Source organism: Homo sapiens, chromosome 8 (genome assembly GCF_000001405.40).
Source record: "Homo sapiens chromosome 8, GRCh38.p14 Primary Assembly".
In the NCBI taxonomy this organism is placed as follows: Eukaryota; Metazoa; Chordata; class Mammalia; order Primates; family Hominidae; genus Homo; species Homo sapiens.
The window spans coordinates 53,914,272-53,932,918 of NC_000008.11; the positions used below are offsets into that span (position 1 = coordinate 53,914,272).

Genomic DNA, 18,647 nt, shown 5'->3' on the forward strand with positions numbered 1-18,647 from the left:
CCTCCCACCTTGGCCTCCCAAGGAGCTGGGATTACAGGCCCTTCTTAGTTCTTTGATGCCAATCCAATTTTAGGTTCTTAACCTTGGTACTTTGGGTCCACTGTGGATTCCCCATTCTCTCCTTCTTTCTCTTCCTATTTTTGATCTTATCCCTTACAGATCTCCCTTCATGTCCCTGCCCCCAAACTGTAATTTGTGATATTTGCTGTCACCTTTTATCCATTCTTGTGCACTAGATAATCTTAGTTTCTTTATGTAGTTCACTAATTTAACAAGCCAGACTGAACTGAGTGTAAACAGGCAGTGAATTTCTTCTCCTATCACCACGTTCAAACAGTATCGGTTTTCCCCTCCTCTCCCCTCAACTCTATCTCATGCAGATTCTATAGCTTTTCAAGTCAATGTCAGTATTAGAACAGTCTCATTTTCAGGCGTTAAAAAATTTCAGTGCTCACTTCAGCAGCACATATACTAAAATTGGAACAATACAGAGAAATTAGCATGGCCCCTGCGCGAGGATGACATGCAAATTCATGAAGCATTCCATAAAAAGAAAAAAAAAGAAAAAAAATTTTTTTAATGTTTAGTCCCTGCCAGGCACGGTGGCTCATGCCTGTAATCCCAGCACTTCTGGGAGGCCAAGGCGGTGGATCACCTGAGGTCAGGAGTTTGAGGCCATCCTGGCCAACATGGTGAAACTCTGTATCTACTAAAACTACAAAAATTAGCTGGGTGTGGTGATGCACGCCTGTAATCCCAGTTACTTGAGAGGCTGAGGCAGGAGGATCACTTGAACCTGGGAGGCGAGGTTGCAGTGAGCCGAGATCGCGCCACTGCACTTCCAGCCTGGGCAACGGAGTGTGGCTCTGTCTCAAAAAAAAAAAAAAAGTTCAGTCCCCTTGAAATCAAACTTTAGTGCCCTCCATTTCAGTTTCCCCTCACCCAGCTTTGGCCTCTCCAGAGGTTGCGCAGACCAACAGTGGCAGGGGAGAGGAGGATAGCCCTTCCAGTTCCTCTCTGCTTTCTCTCCTTTCCGAGCTCTGCTGCCTTGGATGCAGCACTGCTGAAGACAGAGGTGGTATTGGTCAATGGGAGTTCAGACCAGTTTTTCTTCTACAGGGATCTCCCGGAGTTCAGACCAGTCTTTCTTCTACAGGGATCTCCCCACTCCTGCCTGACCTCTTCAGCTTTGGTCCCAGTCATACAGCTCTGGGGTTCTCCTCCCCAGTCCAACAGTTTTGCACAGGATCTTTCAAGAAGATTCAAGCTTGGCCACCTTCCATGTCTCCCATGGAAAAACTCACCCATGCATGCAGCTGGGTCGCTTCCCTTTTTCCTAGACCTGGCTGTTCCAACCAGGCCCTCCCATTGAGTCTCAGGCAGTCCGGAGGGAAGCTGCAGTCTCTGTACTTCTCATGCTTTGCCAGGTTCTCCCCAGGAGTCTTCTGAATCATCTGAGGACAAGGACAGGGCTGGTGCCCGAGTTTCTTTCTTTTTTAAAAATGTGTTTAGAATTGGAGTCTCGCTATGTTGTCGAGGCTGGTCTTGAACTCCTGGCCTCAATCAAGCCTCTCAGGCAGGTGTGGTTATAGGCATGAACCACCCCACCTGACATATTTACTGACATATTTTACCATATTTTATCGAATTCTAGATTCACTATTGTTTCTTGTATTCCATACTTCCCCTTGGGGTCTACTTTTCTTGGTAAAATATGCTTTAATAATTTTCTTTGCAAGAGTCTGTGAGAGATCAGCAAATATTCATCCGAGGACAGGGTCTCACTCTGTTGCCCAAGCTAACTGCGGTGGTATGACCACAGCTCACTGCAGTCTCCACCTCCTGGGCTCAAGGGATCCTCCCACCTCAACCTCCTAAGGAGCTGGGACTACAGGCATGTACCACAAAGTCCGGCTAATTTTTTATTTTTCGTAGAGACAAGGTTTCACTGTGTTGCCCAGGGTGGTCTTGAACTCCTGACCTCCAGTGATCTGCCTGCCTCAGCCTCCCAAAGTGCTGGGATTACAGGCATGAGCCACTGAGCCCAGCCTAAGACCCATTTTTGCAGACAGTACTTAATTAAATTTACTGACATATTTTATCAAATTCTAGATTTACTATTGTTTCTTGAATTCCATACTTCCCCTTGGGATCTATTTTTCTTGGTAAAATATGCTTTAATAATTTTTTTGCAACGGTCTGTGAGAGATAAGCTCTCTGAGTCTTATCTCAGAGGAAGATATTATCTGTTTTCTTCTGGGATCTGTTGTTGCTGAAGAGAAGTATGGTTGTTGGCCTAATTGTCATTCTTTTGTAGGAAACTTTTGTAGGAAGCTTCTTATCTGTCAATTCCTGATGTTTTAAAGTTTACCATGGTATTTCTAGTAGTGGATTTTTGTTTATTTGTCCTGCTTTGTAAAGAGAGAGACTTTCTGAGTGTCTAGTCAATTCATGTTGCTATAACAGAATTCCATAGGCCGGGTGGCTCAAACGACCAAATTTGTTTCTCACAGTTCTGGAGGCTGGGAAGTCCAAGATCAAGGCACTGGCAGATAGGTGTCTGGTGAGGGCTGCTTCCTGGTTGCCAGAAACCAGGAACTGTCTTCTCACCGCACCCTCACAGGGTAGATAAAGAGGGAGAGAGCTCTGTGAAGCCTCTTTCATAAGGACACGAATCCCTTTCATAAAGGCCCCATTCTCATGACCTAATCACTCCCTAGGGCCCCACTTCCAAATATCATCACCTTGGGGCTTCAATTAATGAATTTTGTGGTAGACATAAACATTCAGTCTGTAGCACTGAGGATTTGTGTTTTTTTCAGTTCTGGAAATTCTCAGAACACCTACTTTCTTTTTGTTTGGTTGGTTTTTTGTTTTGTTTTGTTTTGTTTTTGAGATGGAATTTCACTCTTGTTGCCCAGGCTGGAGTGCAGTGGTGCGATCTCAGCTCATTGCAACGTCTGCCTCCCAGGTTCAAGTGATTCTCCTGCCTCAGCCTCCTGAGTAGCTGGGATTACAGGCACATGCCACCACACCTGGCTAATTTTTTGTATTTTCAGTAGAGACAGGGTTTCACCATGTTGGCCAGGCTGGTCTGGAACTCCTGACCTCAGGTGATCCGCCTGCCTCAGCCTCCCAAAGTGCAGGGATTATAGGCATGAGCCACCATGCCCGGCCTCCTACTTTCTTTTTAACTGTTATTTTCCCATCATTATCTCCATTTTCCTTATATTAAACTCCTGTTAAATGTACATTGAAACTGGTAACTCTACACTCCCTTACTCTTTTACCTTTAAACAGCATTGAGATAAAATTTACACACCATAAAGTTTACTCATTTAAAGAGCACAGGCCAGGCACAGTGTTTCATACCTGTTGTCCCAGCACTTTGGGAAGCCAAGGTAGGAGGATCACTTGAGCCCAGGAGTTGGAGACTGCAGTGAGCTACTATCACACCACTGCACTCCAGTCTGGGCGACAGAGACTGACTCTGTCTCAGTCAATCATAATCAGTAGTTTTTAGTATACTTACAAAGTTGTGCAGCCATCATCATAATCTAATTTTAGGACATTTTCATCAAAAGAAACCTTGTACCCATTAGTAGTCATTCTCCGTTCTCTCTCCCTGCTCCCAACCCTAGGCAACCACTATTCTACTTTCTGTCTCTCTAGACATACCTGTTCTGGGCATTTCATGTACAAGTATTATACAACATGTGGACTTCGGGGTCTTGATTCCTTCAATTAACAGAATGTTTTTAAGACTTAGTCATGCCATAGCATGTATGAGTCCTGCATTCCTTTTATAAAATTGTCATATAAATCATACACCGTAAGGCTCACCATTTTACAATATACAGTTCAGTAGTTCTTAGCACAGTCACAAAGTTGTGCAACAATCACCACTAATTCCTGAATATTTTCATAATTCTGAAAAGAAATCCCACACCCACTAGCAGTCACTCATTCCCCTTACCCCATCCCCTGGCAACCACTAATTTACTTCCAGTCTCTATGGATTTGCCTAGTCTGAAAATTTCTTATAAATGGAATCATACATTATGTAGCCTTTTGTGTCTGCCTTCGTTCACTTCACTTCACATATTTTCTTTTTTTTTCTTTCTTCCTTTTTTTGAGACGGAGCTTTGCTCTTGTTGCCCGGGCCGAAGTACAATGGTGCAATCTCAGCTTGCTGCAACCTCTGCCTCCCGGGTTCAAGCAGTTCTCTTGCCTCAGCCTCTGAGTAGCTGGGACTACAGGTGCCCACCACCACACCCAGCTAATTTTTTGTATTTTTAGTAGAGATGGGTTTCACTATGTTGGTCAGGCTGGTCTCGAACTCCTGACCTCAAATGATCCACCTGCCTCAGCTTCCCAAAGTGCTAGGATTACAGGCATGAGCCACCGTGCCCAGCCTTCACTTAACATATTTTCAAGGCTCATCCATGTTGTAGCAGGATCCAGTACTTCATTCCTTTTCATAGCTAAATAAATATTGCCTCGTATGGACATATCATATTTTGTTTATCCATCAGTTGATAGATATTTGTGTTTTTCCACTTTGTGACCATTATGTATAATGTTTACAACAATAAACAAACAGCATTTGTTTACAAGTTTTTGTGTGGACATGTGTTTTCAGTTTTCTGGGCATATATAGGACTAGAATTGCTGGGTCATTTGGAAACTTCATGTTTAACATTTTGAGGACCTGTCAAACTGTTTTCCAAAGTGGCCAACCCATTTTACATTCTCACATGTAGCATATGAGGATTCTAATTTCTTCACATCCTAACACTAATTGTCTACTTTTATTTTACCCATCCTAGTAGGAATAAAATAGTATTTCATTGTGGTAGAGATTTTATTTCCCTAATGACTGATTATGTTAATCATCTTTTCATGTGTATATTGGCCATTTGAAATATCTAGTCAAATCCTTTCTCCATTTTTAAATTGGGTTTTCTCTCCTTTTTCTTAAGTTGCAAGAGTTCTTTATACATCCTGGATACAAGTCTCTTACCTAATATGTGACTTCCATATATTTTTTCCCACTCTGTGGGTTGTCTTTTCACTTTTTTTTTTTTTTTGAGACAGTCTTGCTCTGTCACCCCGTCTGGAGTGCAATGGCACAATCTCGGCTCACTGCAACCTCCGCCTCCCAGGTTCAAGAGATTCTCCTGCCTCAGCCTCCTGAGTAGCTGGGATTACAGGCACGTGCCACTAGGCTCTGCTTATTTTTGTATATTTTTTTTGTAGAGACAGGGTTTCACCATGTTGATCATGCTGGTCTGGTGTCGTTTGAAGCATAACATTTTTTCTTTTTTTTTTTTTTTTGAGACAGTCTTGCCCTGTTGCCCAGGCTGGAATGCAGTGGTGCGATCTTGGCTTACTGCAGCCTCAACTTCTGGGCAGGAGGATCACCTGAGCCCAGGTGTTATGTTGTCCAGCCTGGGCAACATAGCAAGACCCTATCTCTAAAAAGAAAACAAAACAGGCATCTGGGATTTTGATAGGGATTGCATTGAATCTGTACATTAACTTGAGGAATGTTGCCATCCTAACAGCATTGTCTTATATTTTATAAATATGGGATATCTTTCCACTTACTTAGATTTTTTGTTTGTTTGTTTGTTTGTTTTTGCCCAGGCTGGAGCACAGTGGTGTGATCTTGGCTCACTGCAGCCTCAACTTCTGGGCTATGTGATCCTCCCACTTCAGCTTCCTGAGTAGCTGGGACTACAGGCGCACACCACCATGCCTAGCTAATTTTTTGTACTTTTAGTAGAGAAGGTGTTTCACCCTGTTGCCTAGGCTGATCTTAAACTCCTGGGCTCAAGTGATCCACCCACCTCAGCCTCCCAAAGTGCTGGAATTATAGATGTGAGCCATCATGCCCAGACCTATTTAGATATTCTTTACTTTCAACAATCGTTTTGTGGTTTCCAGTGTATAAATCTTATAATTCTTTTATTAAATTTATTTCTAATTATTTTATTCTTTTGATACTATATTGGAATTATTTTCTTATATCACTTCCAGAATGTTCACTGCTAGTGTACAGAAATACAATTGATTTTTCTTTGTTAATATTGTATCCTGCAACTTTGCTGAACTCATTTATTAGTTCTAATTGTTTTTTTTGTTTGTTTTTAGTGGAATTCTTAGGATTTTTAAATAAGCAAGATCATGTCATTTGCAAATAGAGATATAGAGATAGTTTTACTTCCTTTTCAATTTGAATGCCTTTTATTTATTTTTCTTGCCTTACTGCCGAGGCTGGAGTTCCAATGTAGTATGAATAGAAGTGGTAAAAGTAGATTTTTTTTCTTATTTCTGATCTTAGAGAGAAAGCCATCAGTCTTTCAGTGTTTAATATGATCTTAGATATAGGTGTGTTATAGGTGACTTTGGTCAGGTTTAGGAAGCTTCCTTATATGCCAATTTTGCTGAATATTATTTATCATGAAATGCATTAGATTTTGTCAAATAATTTTTTTTTTGAGACGGGCAGTCTCACTCTGTTGCCCGGGCTGGAGTGCAGTGGTGCAATTTCAGCTCACTGCAACCTCCAGTTCCTGGGCTCAAGCGATTCTCCTGCCTCAGCCTCCTGAGTAGCTGGGATTACAGGCACATGCCATCACGCCTGGCTAATTTTTGTATTTTTTAGTAGAGATAGGGTTTCACCATGTTGGCCAGACTGGTCTTGAACTCCTGACCTCAGGTGATCCACCCACCTCGGCCTCCCAAAGTGCTGGGATAACAGGTGTGAGCCACTGTGCCTGACAAAATAATCTTGCTCTGTCTATTATGATTTTTGTCCATTATTTTATTGGTATGGCTATTATGTTTATTTTTTATGTTAAACTAACCTTGCATTCTTACATTAAATTCTACTTAGTCATGGCATATAATCCTTTTTTTACATGTTGCTAGATTCCGTTTGCTAGTATTTTAAGATTTTTGCAACTGTATTCATAAAAGATGATTATGGTGTCTTTATTTGGTTTTGGTATCAGAGTAATACTGGTCTCAGAGAATAAGTTGGGAAGTATTCACTCCCCTTCCATTTTTTGGAACAGTTTTTGAAGAACTGGTAGTCCTTCTTTACTAAATGTTTGGTAGAATTCACCGGTGAAACCAACTTGATCTGAGCTGAGCTGAGCTTTTCTTTTTTTTTTTTTTTTTAAATACACCAGCCTGAACAGATCTGGGCTTTCCTTTGTAGGATTTTTTAAAATAACTAACCAATCTCTTTACTTGTTAAAGTTCCATTTAGATTTTTTCTTCTTTAGTTAATTTTGTTAGTTTATGACTTTCCAGGATTTTTTCCATTTCATCTAAGTTTTCTAATTAGTTGGCATACAGTTGTTCACAGTATTCCATTATCGTTCTTTTTATTTCTGTAAGATCAGTAGTAATTTCCCATCTTTCATTCCTGATTTTGGTAATTTGAGTCTTCATTTTTCTTCATCAACTAGCTAAGGTTTGTCAATTTTGTTGATCTTTTCAAATAACTAACTTTTGGTTTCATGAATTTTCTCTTTTGTATTTTTCTATTTCTATTTTCTATTCCATTGTGTTTGGAAAACATACTTTGTATTATAATAATGATTTTAAATCTGTTGAGGCTGTTTTACGGCCTATTATATGGTCTATTCTGGAGAATTTTCATGTGTATTTGAGAAGAATATGTATTCCACTGATGCAGGTGGAGTGCTCTATAGATGTCTGTTAGGTGTAGTTAGTTTATAGTGTCCTGATGTCCTCTATTCATATGCTTGTTGATCTTCTATCTAGTTGTTCTGTCCATTATTGAAAGCAAGGTATTGAACTTTATTACTGTTATCATTGAATTGTCGGTTTTTCCCTTCAATTCTGTTAGTTTTTGCTGTATGTATTTTTGTGGTTCTGTTATTGGGTGTATATATATTTATAATTGTTGTATCTTCCTGAGACGTTAGCTCTTTTATCATTATAAAATGTCCCTATTAATCTCTAGTAACATTTTGTGTTTAATAGTATTTTATTTGCTATTATTAGAGCCATTCCAGCTCTCTATGGTTGCTGTTGCCAGATATATATTTTTCCATCCTTTTACTTTCTATCTATTTGCATTTTTGAATCTAAAGTATGTCTCTTGTAGACAGCATATAGTTGGATTATGTTTGTAATCATTCTGGCAATCTCTATCTTTTGATTGGATTGTTTAATCTGCACACTTTTCACATTGTCATTGATCCATTTAGATTTACCTTTGTGTTTTTCTTTTCACTTTCTATATATTTCATGACTACTCTGTTCTCTTTTCCTCCCTTATTAACTTCCTTTGTTTTATGTTGATATTTTCTAGTGTACCATTTTACTTTAGTTATTTTTTCACTGTATGTGTATATTTTTTAATTTTTAATCTTTCTTTGAGACAGGGTGTCACTTTGTCACACAGGCTGGAGTGCAGTGGTGCAATCATAGCTCGAACTCCTGGGCTCAACAGTCCTCCTGCCTCAGCCTCCCAAGTAGCTAGGACTACATGTGTGCACCCTCATGCCAGCTAATTTTTTAAATTTTTTGTAGAGATGGGGTTTCACTATGTTGTCCAGGCTGGTCTTGAACTCCTGGTCTCAAGTGAGCCTCCTTCCTTGACCTCCCAAAGTGCTGGGATTACAGGCATGAGAAAATGTGCCTGGCCCTGAGGTAATTTCTTCATGGCCTCTATAATGCTTATAATACCTTAATGTATCAGAATCAACTTTAGATGTATACTACCTTAATTCTAGTAAGATATAGAAACTTTTCTCTTATATGTAGCTCCTTTCTCTCCCTACTGTTTTGTGGCTACTACTGCTGTACATATTAAGGTGTATATGTATTACAAATCCAATAACATATTGTTATAATTACTGCTTTATATAATCCTCCCAAAGTGCTGGGATTACAGGCGTGAGCCACCGAACCTGGCCAATCCTATGTCTTTTAAAGAAGCTAAGAAAAGAAACAAGAGCAGAAATATACGTATAGAGTTTCTTCTTTAAAAAATATTAGGCCTGGCCTGGTGGCTCACATTTGTTATCCTAGCACTTTGGGAGGCCAAGGAAGGCAGGCTGCTTGAACTCAAGAGTTTGAGACCAGCCTGGGCAACATACTGAGACCCCGTCTTTACAAAAAATATATAAATTAGCCTGGCATGGTGGTGTGTGCCAGTAGTCCCAGCTACTTGGGGAGCTGAGGCAGGAGGATCACTTGAGCCCGGGAGGCAAAGGTTGCAGTGAGCCAAAATCACGCCACTGAACTCCAGCCTGGGCGACAGAGTGAGACTCTGTCTCAAAAAAAAAAAAATTTCCAGAGACTTTAAATGATTGTTTTTTAATAACTCACTAGTTATATGATTATATTTTGCTGGAGAGAGGGTCTACGTCCCTCACGTAGCCATTCGGGAACCAAACTGCAGATGATGCGCTGCGTCTTTTTATCTCTTAGTCTTTCTGAACATTCTAAATTAGTCCTTCAGTACTATTTTCTAATATCCTTGCAACTTTCTACTTGATTCTTTTTCGTGACTACCTGTTCTTATTTTATTTCTATTTGTTTTAGTTTCCTATTTTTTGACATTTTAAATGTAAATGATTTCTTCATTATTATTTGAGCATCGCAACTTTTATTTTTCATTTTCTTCTGCAACATTAAATTCATATTTCAGTGGGTGATTTTAATGACTGCCTTTCTTCATATGTTTTGGAATTTTAGTTTGCAAATACTTTTTTTTTTTGAGAGTGTCTTGCTGTGTTGCCCAGGCCGGAGTGCAATGGAATGATTATAGTTCACTGCAGCCTTGACCTCCTGGGCTCAAGCATTCCTCCAACCTCTGCCTCCTGAGTAGCTAGGACTACAGACGTGTGCCATCAGACCCAGCTAATTTTTTTATTTTTTATTTTTTTTTGAGACAGAGTCTTGCTCTGTCACCCAGGCTGAAGTGCAGTGGTGTATGTTGGCTCACAGCAACCTCCGCCTCCCGGGTTCAAGAGATTCTCCTGCCTCAGCCTCCCAGATAGCTGGGATTACAGGTGCACCACCACGCCCGGCTAATTTTTGTATTTTTAGTACAGACGGGGTTTCACCATGTTGGCCAGGCTGGTCTTGAACTCCTGACCTCAAGTGATCTACCCCCCTTGGCCTCCCAAAGTGCTAGGATTACAGGCGTGAGCCACCGTGCCTGGACTAGTTTTTTAATTTTTTTGTAGAGATGGGGCTTACTATGTTGCTCAGGCTGGTCTTAAACTCCTGGCCTCAAGCAATCCTCCTACCTCTGCCTCCCAAAGCACTGGGATAACAGGCATGAGCCACCATGCCCAGCTGCAAGTTCATTTTAAAGCAATTGTTTCATTCTTTTTTGTTGTTGATCTTTTTTCTGTCCTCCTTAGTTTTTACTTATCTCCATCTAGAAACATTAAGATTTCCTTCACTGATCATCTGGGCAACCTACTAAGAGCCAGATGTTATGATGACAATTCAGAATTTCTGCCCAAGTGATATTGTGAATATGGCAGATTTCAGAACCAGCAGTTCCAGCTCATTCCAGACCATAGAGATGTCTATATGCTCCCATATTCCACATCTAGCCTCAGCAGAGGTCAGCTACAGTTGGTGTTTTTTATAAGCTTCCATCATAAGGAAGAGGAGATTCTTCTCAACTTTTAAAGCACTGACTGTAGCTCCAACTCCACATTTAACCTGGAGCAATTTTAGTCCCTTTTAGCTTCTGGACTGATGTTGCCTCTGCCCATTACTTGGACCTACAGCCAAGCAGGCCCACTGCTTGCACTCTGCCCATTGATTTACACTGCCATTGCGTTTCTGGTTGGAGGTATATTTATCTTGGTTTTGAACTCAACTACATGTTTTTAGACTTTTCTTATCTGTCATTGCTTTTGCTTGGAACAGAATCAGTGATCAAAGTGAGATCATTGCCCCAGCTTGCCTAGAGTCCCAATCCCATCCTGAATTTGCAGTCAGCCATTTCAGGCTGTAGTCTTTAGCTTCTCTGTAACATTCACAATAGCTTTTTGGATGGAAGTGATGGGTGGAATGGATCAGCAAGACACAGAAACCAGGAGTAAAAAAAAAATATGAACCAGAGTTTGGGTAGGGTAATGGTGAGGCCTGTGGCAGGGTTCCCAGCAGGGCAAGATTCTGTGCAGGAAAACAAAGTTAGAAGTTAAAACTAGGTGGCTGGATGTGGTGGCTCATGCCTGTAATCCCAGCATTTTGGGAGGCCAAGGTGGGCGGATCACCTCAGGTCAGGAGTAAAAATACAAAATTAGCTGGGCATGGTGGCACATGCCTGTAATCCCAGCTACTCAGGAGGCTGAGGCAGGAGAATCACTTGAATCCGGGAGGTGGAGGTGCCGGTGAGCTGAGATCGTGCCATTGCACTTTAGCCTGGGCAACAAGAGCGAAACTCAGTCTCAAAAAAAAAAGAAGTTAAAACGAAGTAAGATATTCAAGGTCAGTGTCTAAAGCAGGGAACAGCTAGTACTAAGGAATAATCTAGTAGCACTGTGTTCTGACAAAGATGTTACTAACGGAGGCCCTGTGGGAGCCATGATCTACCCAGCCATACTGCCCAAAGAAAAAATACTTCAAGAGCCAAGGTTTATTAAAGCAAAAGTAGGCCGGGCTCAGTGGCTCACACTTGTAATCTCAGCACTTCGGAAGGCTGAGGCAGGAGCATCACTTGAGCCCAGGAGTTTGAGACATAGTGAGATCCCACCTCTATGAAAAAAAATTGTTAATTAGCTGGGTATGGTGGCACACACCTGTGGTTCCTGCTACTTGGGAGACTTGGACAGGAGGATTGCTTGAACTCAGGAGGTTGAAGCTGCAGTGAGCCGTGTTCACACCACTGTACTGCAGCCTGGGCAACAGAGTGAGATCCTGTCTCAAAAAACAAAAAAGAAAATGGATTTGGGATTTGAGTCTCCTCCAGGAGAATGTGTCCTCTCAAATTTTCTTATATTATTGTCTAACTCTTTCAAGGCCCTAAACTATCCCCTGATGGTAGGATCCTGCTTCTTAGGGTCTTTGAAGAAGGCTTTGAATTTATGTATTTTTGGATTCTTGGTTCTCCTTCATCAGAAGCTTATCTATGATTCTATATCTTTCTGGAACAGGAACTTGAGTCTTAGGCCTTAAGAGATAAGAGATTTTTTTTAAACACAATACTTGGTGTTTCATCGTATTCTCAATATGTAATTCAATAATCGCTATCTTCAGGATTTGGGAACTACAGTGAAAATAAATAACTATTAAAGGAATCTGGCTACCAAGTGTGTTTACCAGAAAATAAGAAAGAACTTCTCTGGGTTGGACATGGTGGCTCACACATCTAATCCCAGCACTTTGGGAGGCTGAAACAGGCGGATCACTTGAGGTCAGGAATTCGACACCAGCCTGGCCAATATGGTGAAACCCCATCTCTACTAAAAATACAAAAATTAGCCAGGTGTGGTGGTGGGCGCCTGTAATCCCAGCTGCTCTGGGAGGCTGAGGCAGGAGAATCGCTTGAACCCAAGAGGCGGAGGTTACAGTGAGCCGAGATCACACCACTGCACTCCAGCCTGGGTGACAGAGCAAGACTCCATCTCAAAAAAAGAAAGAAAGAAAGAACCTCTCTGAGATAATTAGTTAGGTTAAAACTTTTTTAAAAACTAGTTACTGGTTTCAATTCCAAAATACTAAAAGATTGTGATCAAAATTAAGAGTTTGCCTTGGCTTTTAGTTGAATTTTGAAAGGCCTCTTAGATGTTGAGTTCCTAGGAATTTGGAAAAGCCTTGTTTGAGGATTGTCTCTTGACTGAGATCTGAAATGTTTAATAAGCTATCAACCTGTATTATTCCCATTTCCTCAGGATGCTCTTTTTGTTTTTTGGGGCGTTTTTTTTTTTTTTTTTGAGACAAGGTCTCACTCAGTCACCCAGGCTAGAGGCAGTGGCAGAATCACAGCTCACTGCAGCCTCAACCTCCTGGGCTCAAACGATCTTCTCACCTTAGCCCCCCAACCAAGTAACTGGGACTACAGGCGCGCGCCACCATACCCAGCTAATTTTCATATTTTTGTGTAGAGATGGGGTTTCTCCATGTTGCCCAGGCTGGTCTCAAACTCCTGAGCTCAAGCGATCCACCCGCCTCATCCTCCTAAAGTGCTGGGATTACAGGCATGAGGCACCATGTCCAGCCCTCAGGCTGCTTTTGAAATCCCACACATGTTAGCATATGAGGATGCTAACAATGATTTCACATTCTTCTAAGTTCTGAGCCCTAGGACCATCAGGTGAAGGCAGCCAGTACCTGGGGGATGATGTGTGTGACTTACATGGTCATCCCAAAGGACAGTAAAATGATGCCCAGCATTCTCTGCCAAACAGACTAAAAAAGGAGAGAAGAGCACTGTCAAAAGGCATTGATTCCATGTTATTTAGAAAGGACAAATGGAAATGATATGTGCATAGAGTTCTCCCACAGATATGATGAAGGCAAAGGAGAAGATGTATGAAGCTGGTTTGGCTAATTAGATCCTATACCGATGTCTGAAAAGACTAGTGGAATTAACATATACATTGATGGCATATTTTTACAATCTTGTAAATAGGTAGCATTTATATCAGTGGTATAATAAAAGAATAATTATCTTTTAGACCTGAGAAGAGTTTGCTTAGTAAGGTAAGGGTGACTCAACATCAAGAAATGCATTAATTCACTTCATTAACTATTCAAAGGAGGAAATTGATATGCTCACCTAAATAGATTTTTTTTAATCTAAAAGAATTCAACATTTTAAAAACTTTATTAAGGAAATTTCCAACCACACAAATATGTAGAGAGGATAGTATAACAAACCCTGTGTGTTAGTCAACTTCAATAATTATCAAATCAACATTGGCTTCTTTTTAATATTCATGTTTTATTAACACTTTTAGTTCCCCTCAGGCTCTTGCATTTCTCCACAGACATTTATGGTATAAATGATCACTCCCACCACCAAACACTCCAACATTTAGCAAGGAAGTGAAAGCCATTCCCATTAATTTAGAATTTTTTTGTACATAGAGATGAGAGATTGTTAGTAAACTTTTCCAGGAATAGCATGTATTTCTGTACACTTACTTATCGAATCTTTAAATGATTTAAAATGTCAAAATTATAGTTCAGTAAACATGAATACAGTCTTAATAACAGTCTCTTCTAATTTAGTCTGATAAAAGACTTTCATGCTCACCAGGGCGCGGTGGCTTACATGTGGAATCCCAACACTTTGGGAGGCTGAGGCAGGAAGATCACCTGAGGTCAGGAGTTCGAGACCAGCCTGACCAAAATGGAGAAACCCCATCTCTACTGAAAATACAAAATTAGCCGGGCGTGGTGGTGCATGCCTGTAATCCTAGCTACTCGGGAGGCTGAGGCAGGAGAATTGCTTGAACCTGGGAGGCAGAGGTTGCGGTAAGCTGAGATCACACCATTGCACTCCAGCCTGGGCAACAAGAGTAAAACTCCGTCTCAAAAAAAAAAAAAGATTTTCATGTTCGAAAGAAGACAATGTCTTATATATCTAAACTTTTCAGCAACCATCAAAAAGGTCTAAGTCCATCAACAGGTGAATGGATAAACAAATAGTAGTACATCCATACAGTGGAATCCTGCTCAGGAATAACAAGGAATGACTTATTGATATATGCAACAATCTCAAAACAATCATGCTACGCAAAGGAAACCAGACCACAATAAAAGATGTTGTATGGTTCCCTTTATATAAAAATCAAGAAATGCAAATTAATGGATATAGAGAGAAAGCAGATCAGTCAGCACCCAAGGCAGAGGCATAAGAGGGAAGGAACAAAAGAGAAATTCTCAAGAAGCAGGGTTTTGAGAAAACTTTTGAGGGTGAGGATGTGTTCACCATCTTGATTGTGATGATGGCTTCCCAGGTATACATATGAAAACTTATCAAATTATATACCTTAAACATGTGCAGTTTATTGGATGTCTGTTAGACCTCAATAAAGCTGTTTTTAAAAATGTATACAATTCCAGAGCTCTCCAGTCTCAAAAATTTTTTTAAAAATGTATAAGAACAGGCCAGGCGCAGTGGCTGATGCCTGTAATCCCAGCACTTTGGGAGGCTGAGGCGGGTGGATAACCTAAGGTCAGGAGTTCAAAATCAGCCTGACTCCCATCTCTACTAAAAATACAAAAATTAGCTGGACATGGTGGCGGACGCCTGTAATTCCAGCTACTCGGGAGGCTGAAGCAAGAGAATTGCTTGAACCCAAAAGGTGGAGGTTGCAGTGAGCCAAGATCGCACCATTGCACTCCAGCCTGGGTGACAAGAGCAAAACTACATATCAAAAAAAATGTTTAATAACAGACTTTGATAGAAGTTACCTTTGACTTCTAATGGCTATATTTGGTCCTAAGAAACCTTATGATGTTCTCTAAGAGTTAGCTCACTCAGTCATTAAAATTCTTCCAGACATTTACAAACAGATAGGTGTGTATAAACAAATCAAATATGTTAGCTTATGACATAGGGCTAGAGAGTTAAAATTAAAATTTTTTTTAATGTTAATAAGTTAGCACAGCTTATTTTATACCATGTAAATAGTGAAAGAAAGCCTGCTTAACTTGAAATGTTATCTTCCAGAAACCTCCAACACATAGCATACATGTCAGCAAAACACTGTCTGCTCATTAAAGAAAGTCTTGAGGAAGACAAAGGTGCCTAGTACTATTGCTACTTCTCAATATTTACTCAACTTCCTGGCCAATGAAATAAGACCAGGGTAAGAACAGATACCTTAAAAAGGTACAGGAAGCAAAGAGACTAGTGTGATCATGTAGAGACAGTATGATCATCTAATTAAAGAATGAACAGAAAAATTACTGGAACTGTAAGAGAATTCAATATAGTATTCTTAGCCTTCCTATATGCTAAAATATCTACTTAGAAAACACAGTTGGGTACTAGGGGAAGATATCATTTATGACAGCAGCAAAAATCAGCCTACAAAATATTCAGGAGTAAACCTATCAAAAATGTGCAAGACCTGTTTGAAGAGACCCTTACCCCACATGTAAGAGAGGATTTAAGTGAATAGATATTTCATGGACTGATTGGGAAGACCCAGTGTGGCCAAGATGTTGGAACAGGACTCCCCTGAGACCTTGGGACAGCACCATGTCACAGTCCTTCCTACTTCTGGAAATTAATTAGGATATGGTTTTGTTTTTTGTTTTTTGTTTTTTGACAGAGTCTCACTGTTGCCGAGGCTGGAGTGCAGTGGCACGATCTCAGTTCACTGCAACCTCTGCCTCCGGGGTTCAAGTGATTCTCCTGCCTCAGCCTCCCAAGTAGCTGAGATTACAAGTGTGTGCCACCACACTCAGCTAATTTTTTTTGTAGTTTTGGCAGAGACAGGGTTTTACCATGTTGGCCGGGCTGGTCTCGAACTCCTGACCTCAAGTGATCTGCCTGCCTCGGCCTCCCAAGGAATATGTTTTTTTAATGAGGCAAGTTGCATCAACATCTCATAGGAAATAATAGTTACCTGGAGCATCTTTTGTTCAAAACATCTTGGTTTGGAGATTGTGCTGGCTTGTCCTGAGGCCTCAGTGCCCGAATTGAGTGAATGAAGTGAAACCATGGTTAGGCTATCTCCTCCACAGGTGAGGTGAAGACGTGATCCCTGGAGTCACTTGAGCCTAGAGTTTCTGCCTTCGAAGCTGTCTCCCTGTGGTACCCATAAAGCATGACTGTGGCTGACCGTGTGTCTCTGCCTCCACCTTTTGGCTAAGTGAGCCACACCAACTCAGTAACCCCAGCAGAGCACTGTGGGTGGTCTCTGGGTATGTTGGGAGCATTGTTTTCACAGTGGATGAAAGAAGAAAAAAACAGTAAAGCCCTTTGATGGGTCTTTCTTGTGGTCCTGAAACTTACATGCAAGACTAATTAAGGCCAGGTGCAGTGGCTCACGCCTGTAATCCCAGCACTTTGAGAGGCCAAGGTGGGCAGATCATGAGGTCAGGAGTTTGCGACCAGCTTGGCCAACATGGTGAAACCCCATCTCTACTAAAAATACAAAAATTAGCTGGGCGTGGTGGTGGGCACCTGTAATCCCAGCTACTCAGGAGGCTGAGGCAGGAAAATTGTTTGAAACTGAGAGGCAGAGGTTGCAGTGAGCCAAGATAATGCCATTGCAGTCCAGCCTGGGCAACAAGAGCAAAACTCCAAAACAACAACAACAACAACAACAACAACAACAACAACAACAAACAACCTGTGGCTGGCAAACTGGCTGAATAGGAACAGCTCCGGTCTGTAGCTCCCAATGAGATCAATGCAGAAGGTGGGTGACTTCTGCATTTCCAACTGAGGTATCTGGCTAATCTCATTGGGACTGGTTAGACAGTTGGGTGCAGCCCACGGAGGGTGAGCAGAAGCAGTGTGGGGTGTCGCCTCACCCAGGAAGTGCAAGGTGTCAGGGAACTCCCTCCCCTAGCCAAGGGAAGCCATGAGAAACTGTGCCATAAGGGACAGAGCACTCCGACCCAGACAGTACTCTTTTCCCACAGTCTTTGCAACCTACAGACCAAAAGATTTCCTCTGATGCCTACACCACTAGGGCCCTGGTGGTGACAAAATCTCTCAGCACTTGCCTGTCTGTAAAGGATTTCATTTCTTCTTTGCTTATGAAGCATAGTTTGGCTGGATATAAAATTCTGGGTGGAAAATTCTTTTCTTTAAGAATGTTGAATATCGGACCCCACTCTCTTCTGGCTTGTAGGGTTTCTGCAGAGAGATGTGCTGTTAGTCTGATGGGCTTCCCTTTGTGGGTAACCCGACCTTTCTCTCTGGCTGCCCTTAACACAAAACTGGGTGGCCATTTGGGCAGACACCGAGCTAGCTGCAGAAGTGTTTTTCATACCCCAGTTTCACCTGGAATGCCAGCGAGACAGAACCGTTCACACCCCTGAAAAGGGGGCTGAAGCCAGGGAGCCATGGTCTAGCTCAGTGGATCCCACCCCCACGGAACCCAGCAAGCTAAGATCCAATGGCTTGAAATCCTTGCTGCCAGCACAGAAGTCTAAAGTTGACCTGGGATGCTTAAGCTTGATAGGGGGAGGGGCGTCCACCATTAATGAGGCTTGAGTAGGCGGTTTTCCCCTCACACAGTGTAAACAAAGCCACCAGGAAGTTCGAACTAGGAGGAGCACACTGCAGCTTAGCAAAGTCGCTGTAGCCAGACTGTATCTCTAGATTCCTTCTCTCTGGATAGGGCATCTCTGAAAGAAAGGCAGCAGCCCCAGTCAGGGGCTTATAGATAAAACTCTCATCTCCCTGGGACAAAGCACCTGGGGGAAGGGGCAGCTATGGGAGCAGCTCCAGCAGACTTACTGCCTGGCGGCTGTGAAGAGAGCAGCAGATCTCCCAGCACAGTGCTTGAGCTCTGCTAAGGGACAGACTGCCTCCTCAGGTGGGTCCCTGACCCCTGTGCCTCCTGACTGGGAGACACCTCCCAGCAGGGGTCGACAGACACCTCATACAGGAGCGCTCCAACTGGCCTCTGGTGGGTGCCCCTCTGGGATGAAGCTTCCAG

General features: G+C 41.8%; 1 protein-coding gene and 1 pseudogene across 6 annotated transcripts in view; both read left to right on the forward strand.

The window, feature by feature from the left end:
- RGS20 (regulator of G protein signaling 20) overlaps positions 1–18,647 on the forward strand; it is a 107,509-nt gene that overhangs the window by 62,477 nt on the left and 26,385 nt on the right. The window lies entirely within an intron of this gene.
- Positions 448–553, forward strand: RNU6-1331P (RNA, U6 small nuclear 1331, pseudogene; annotated as a pseudogene).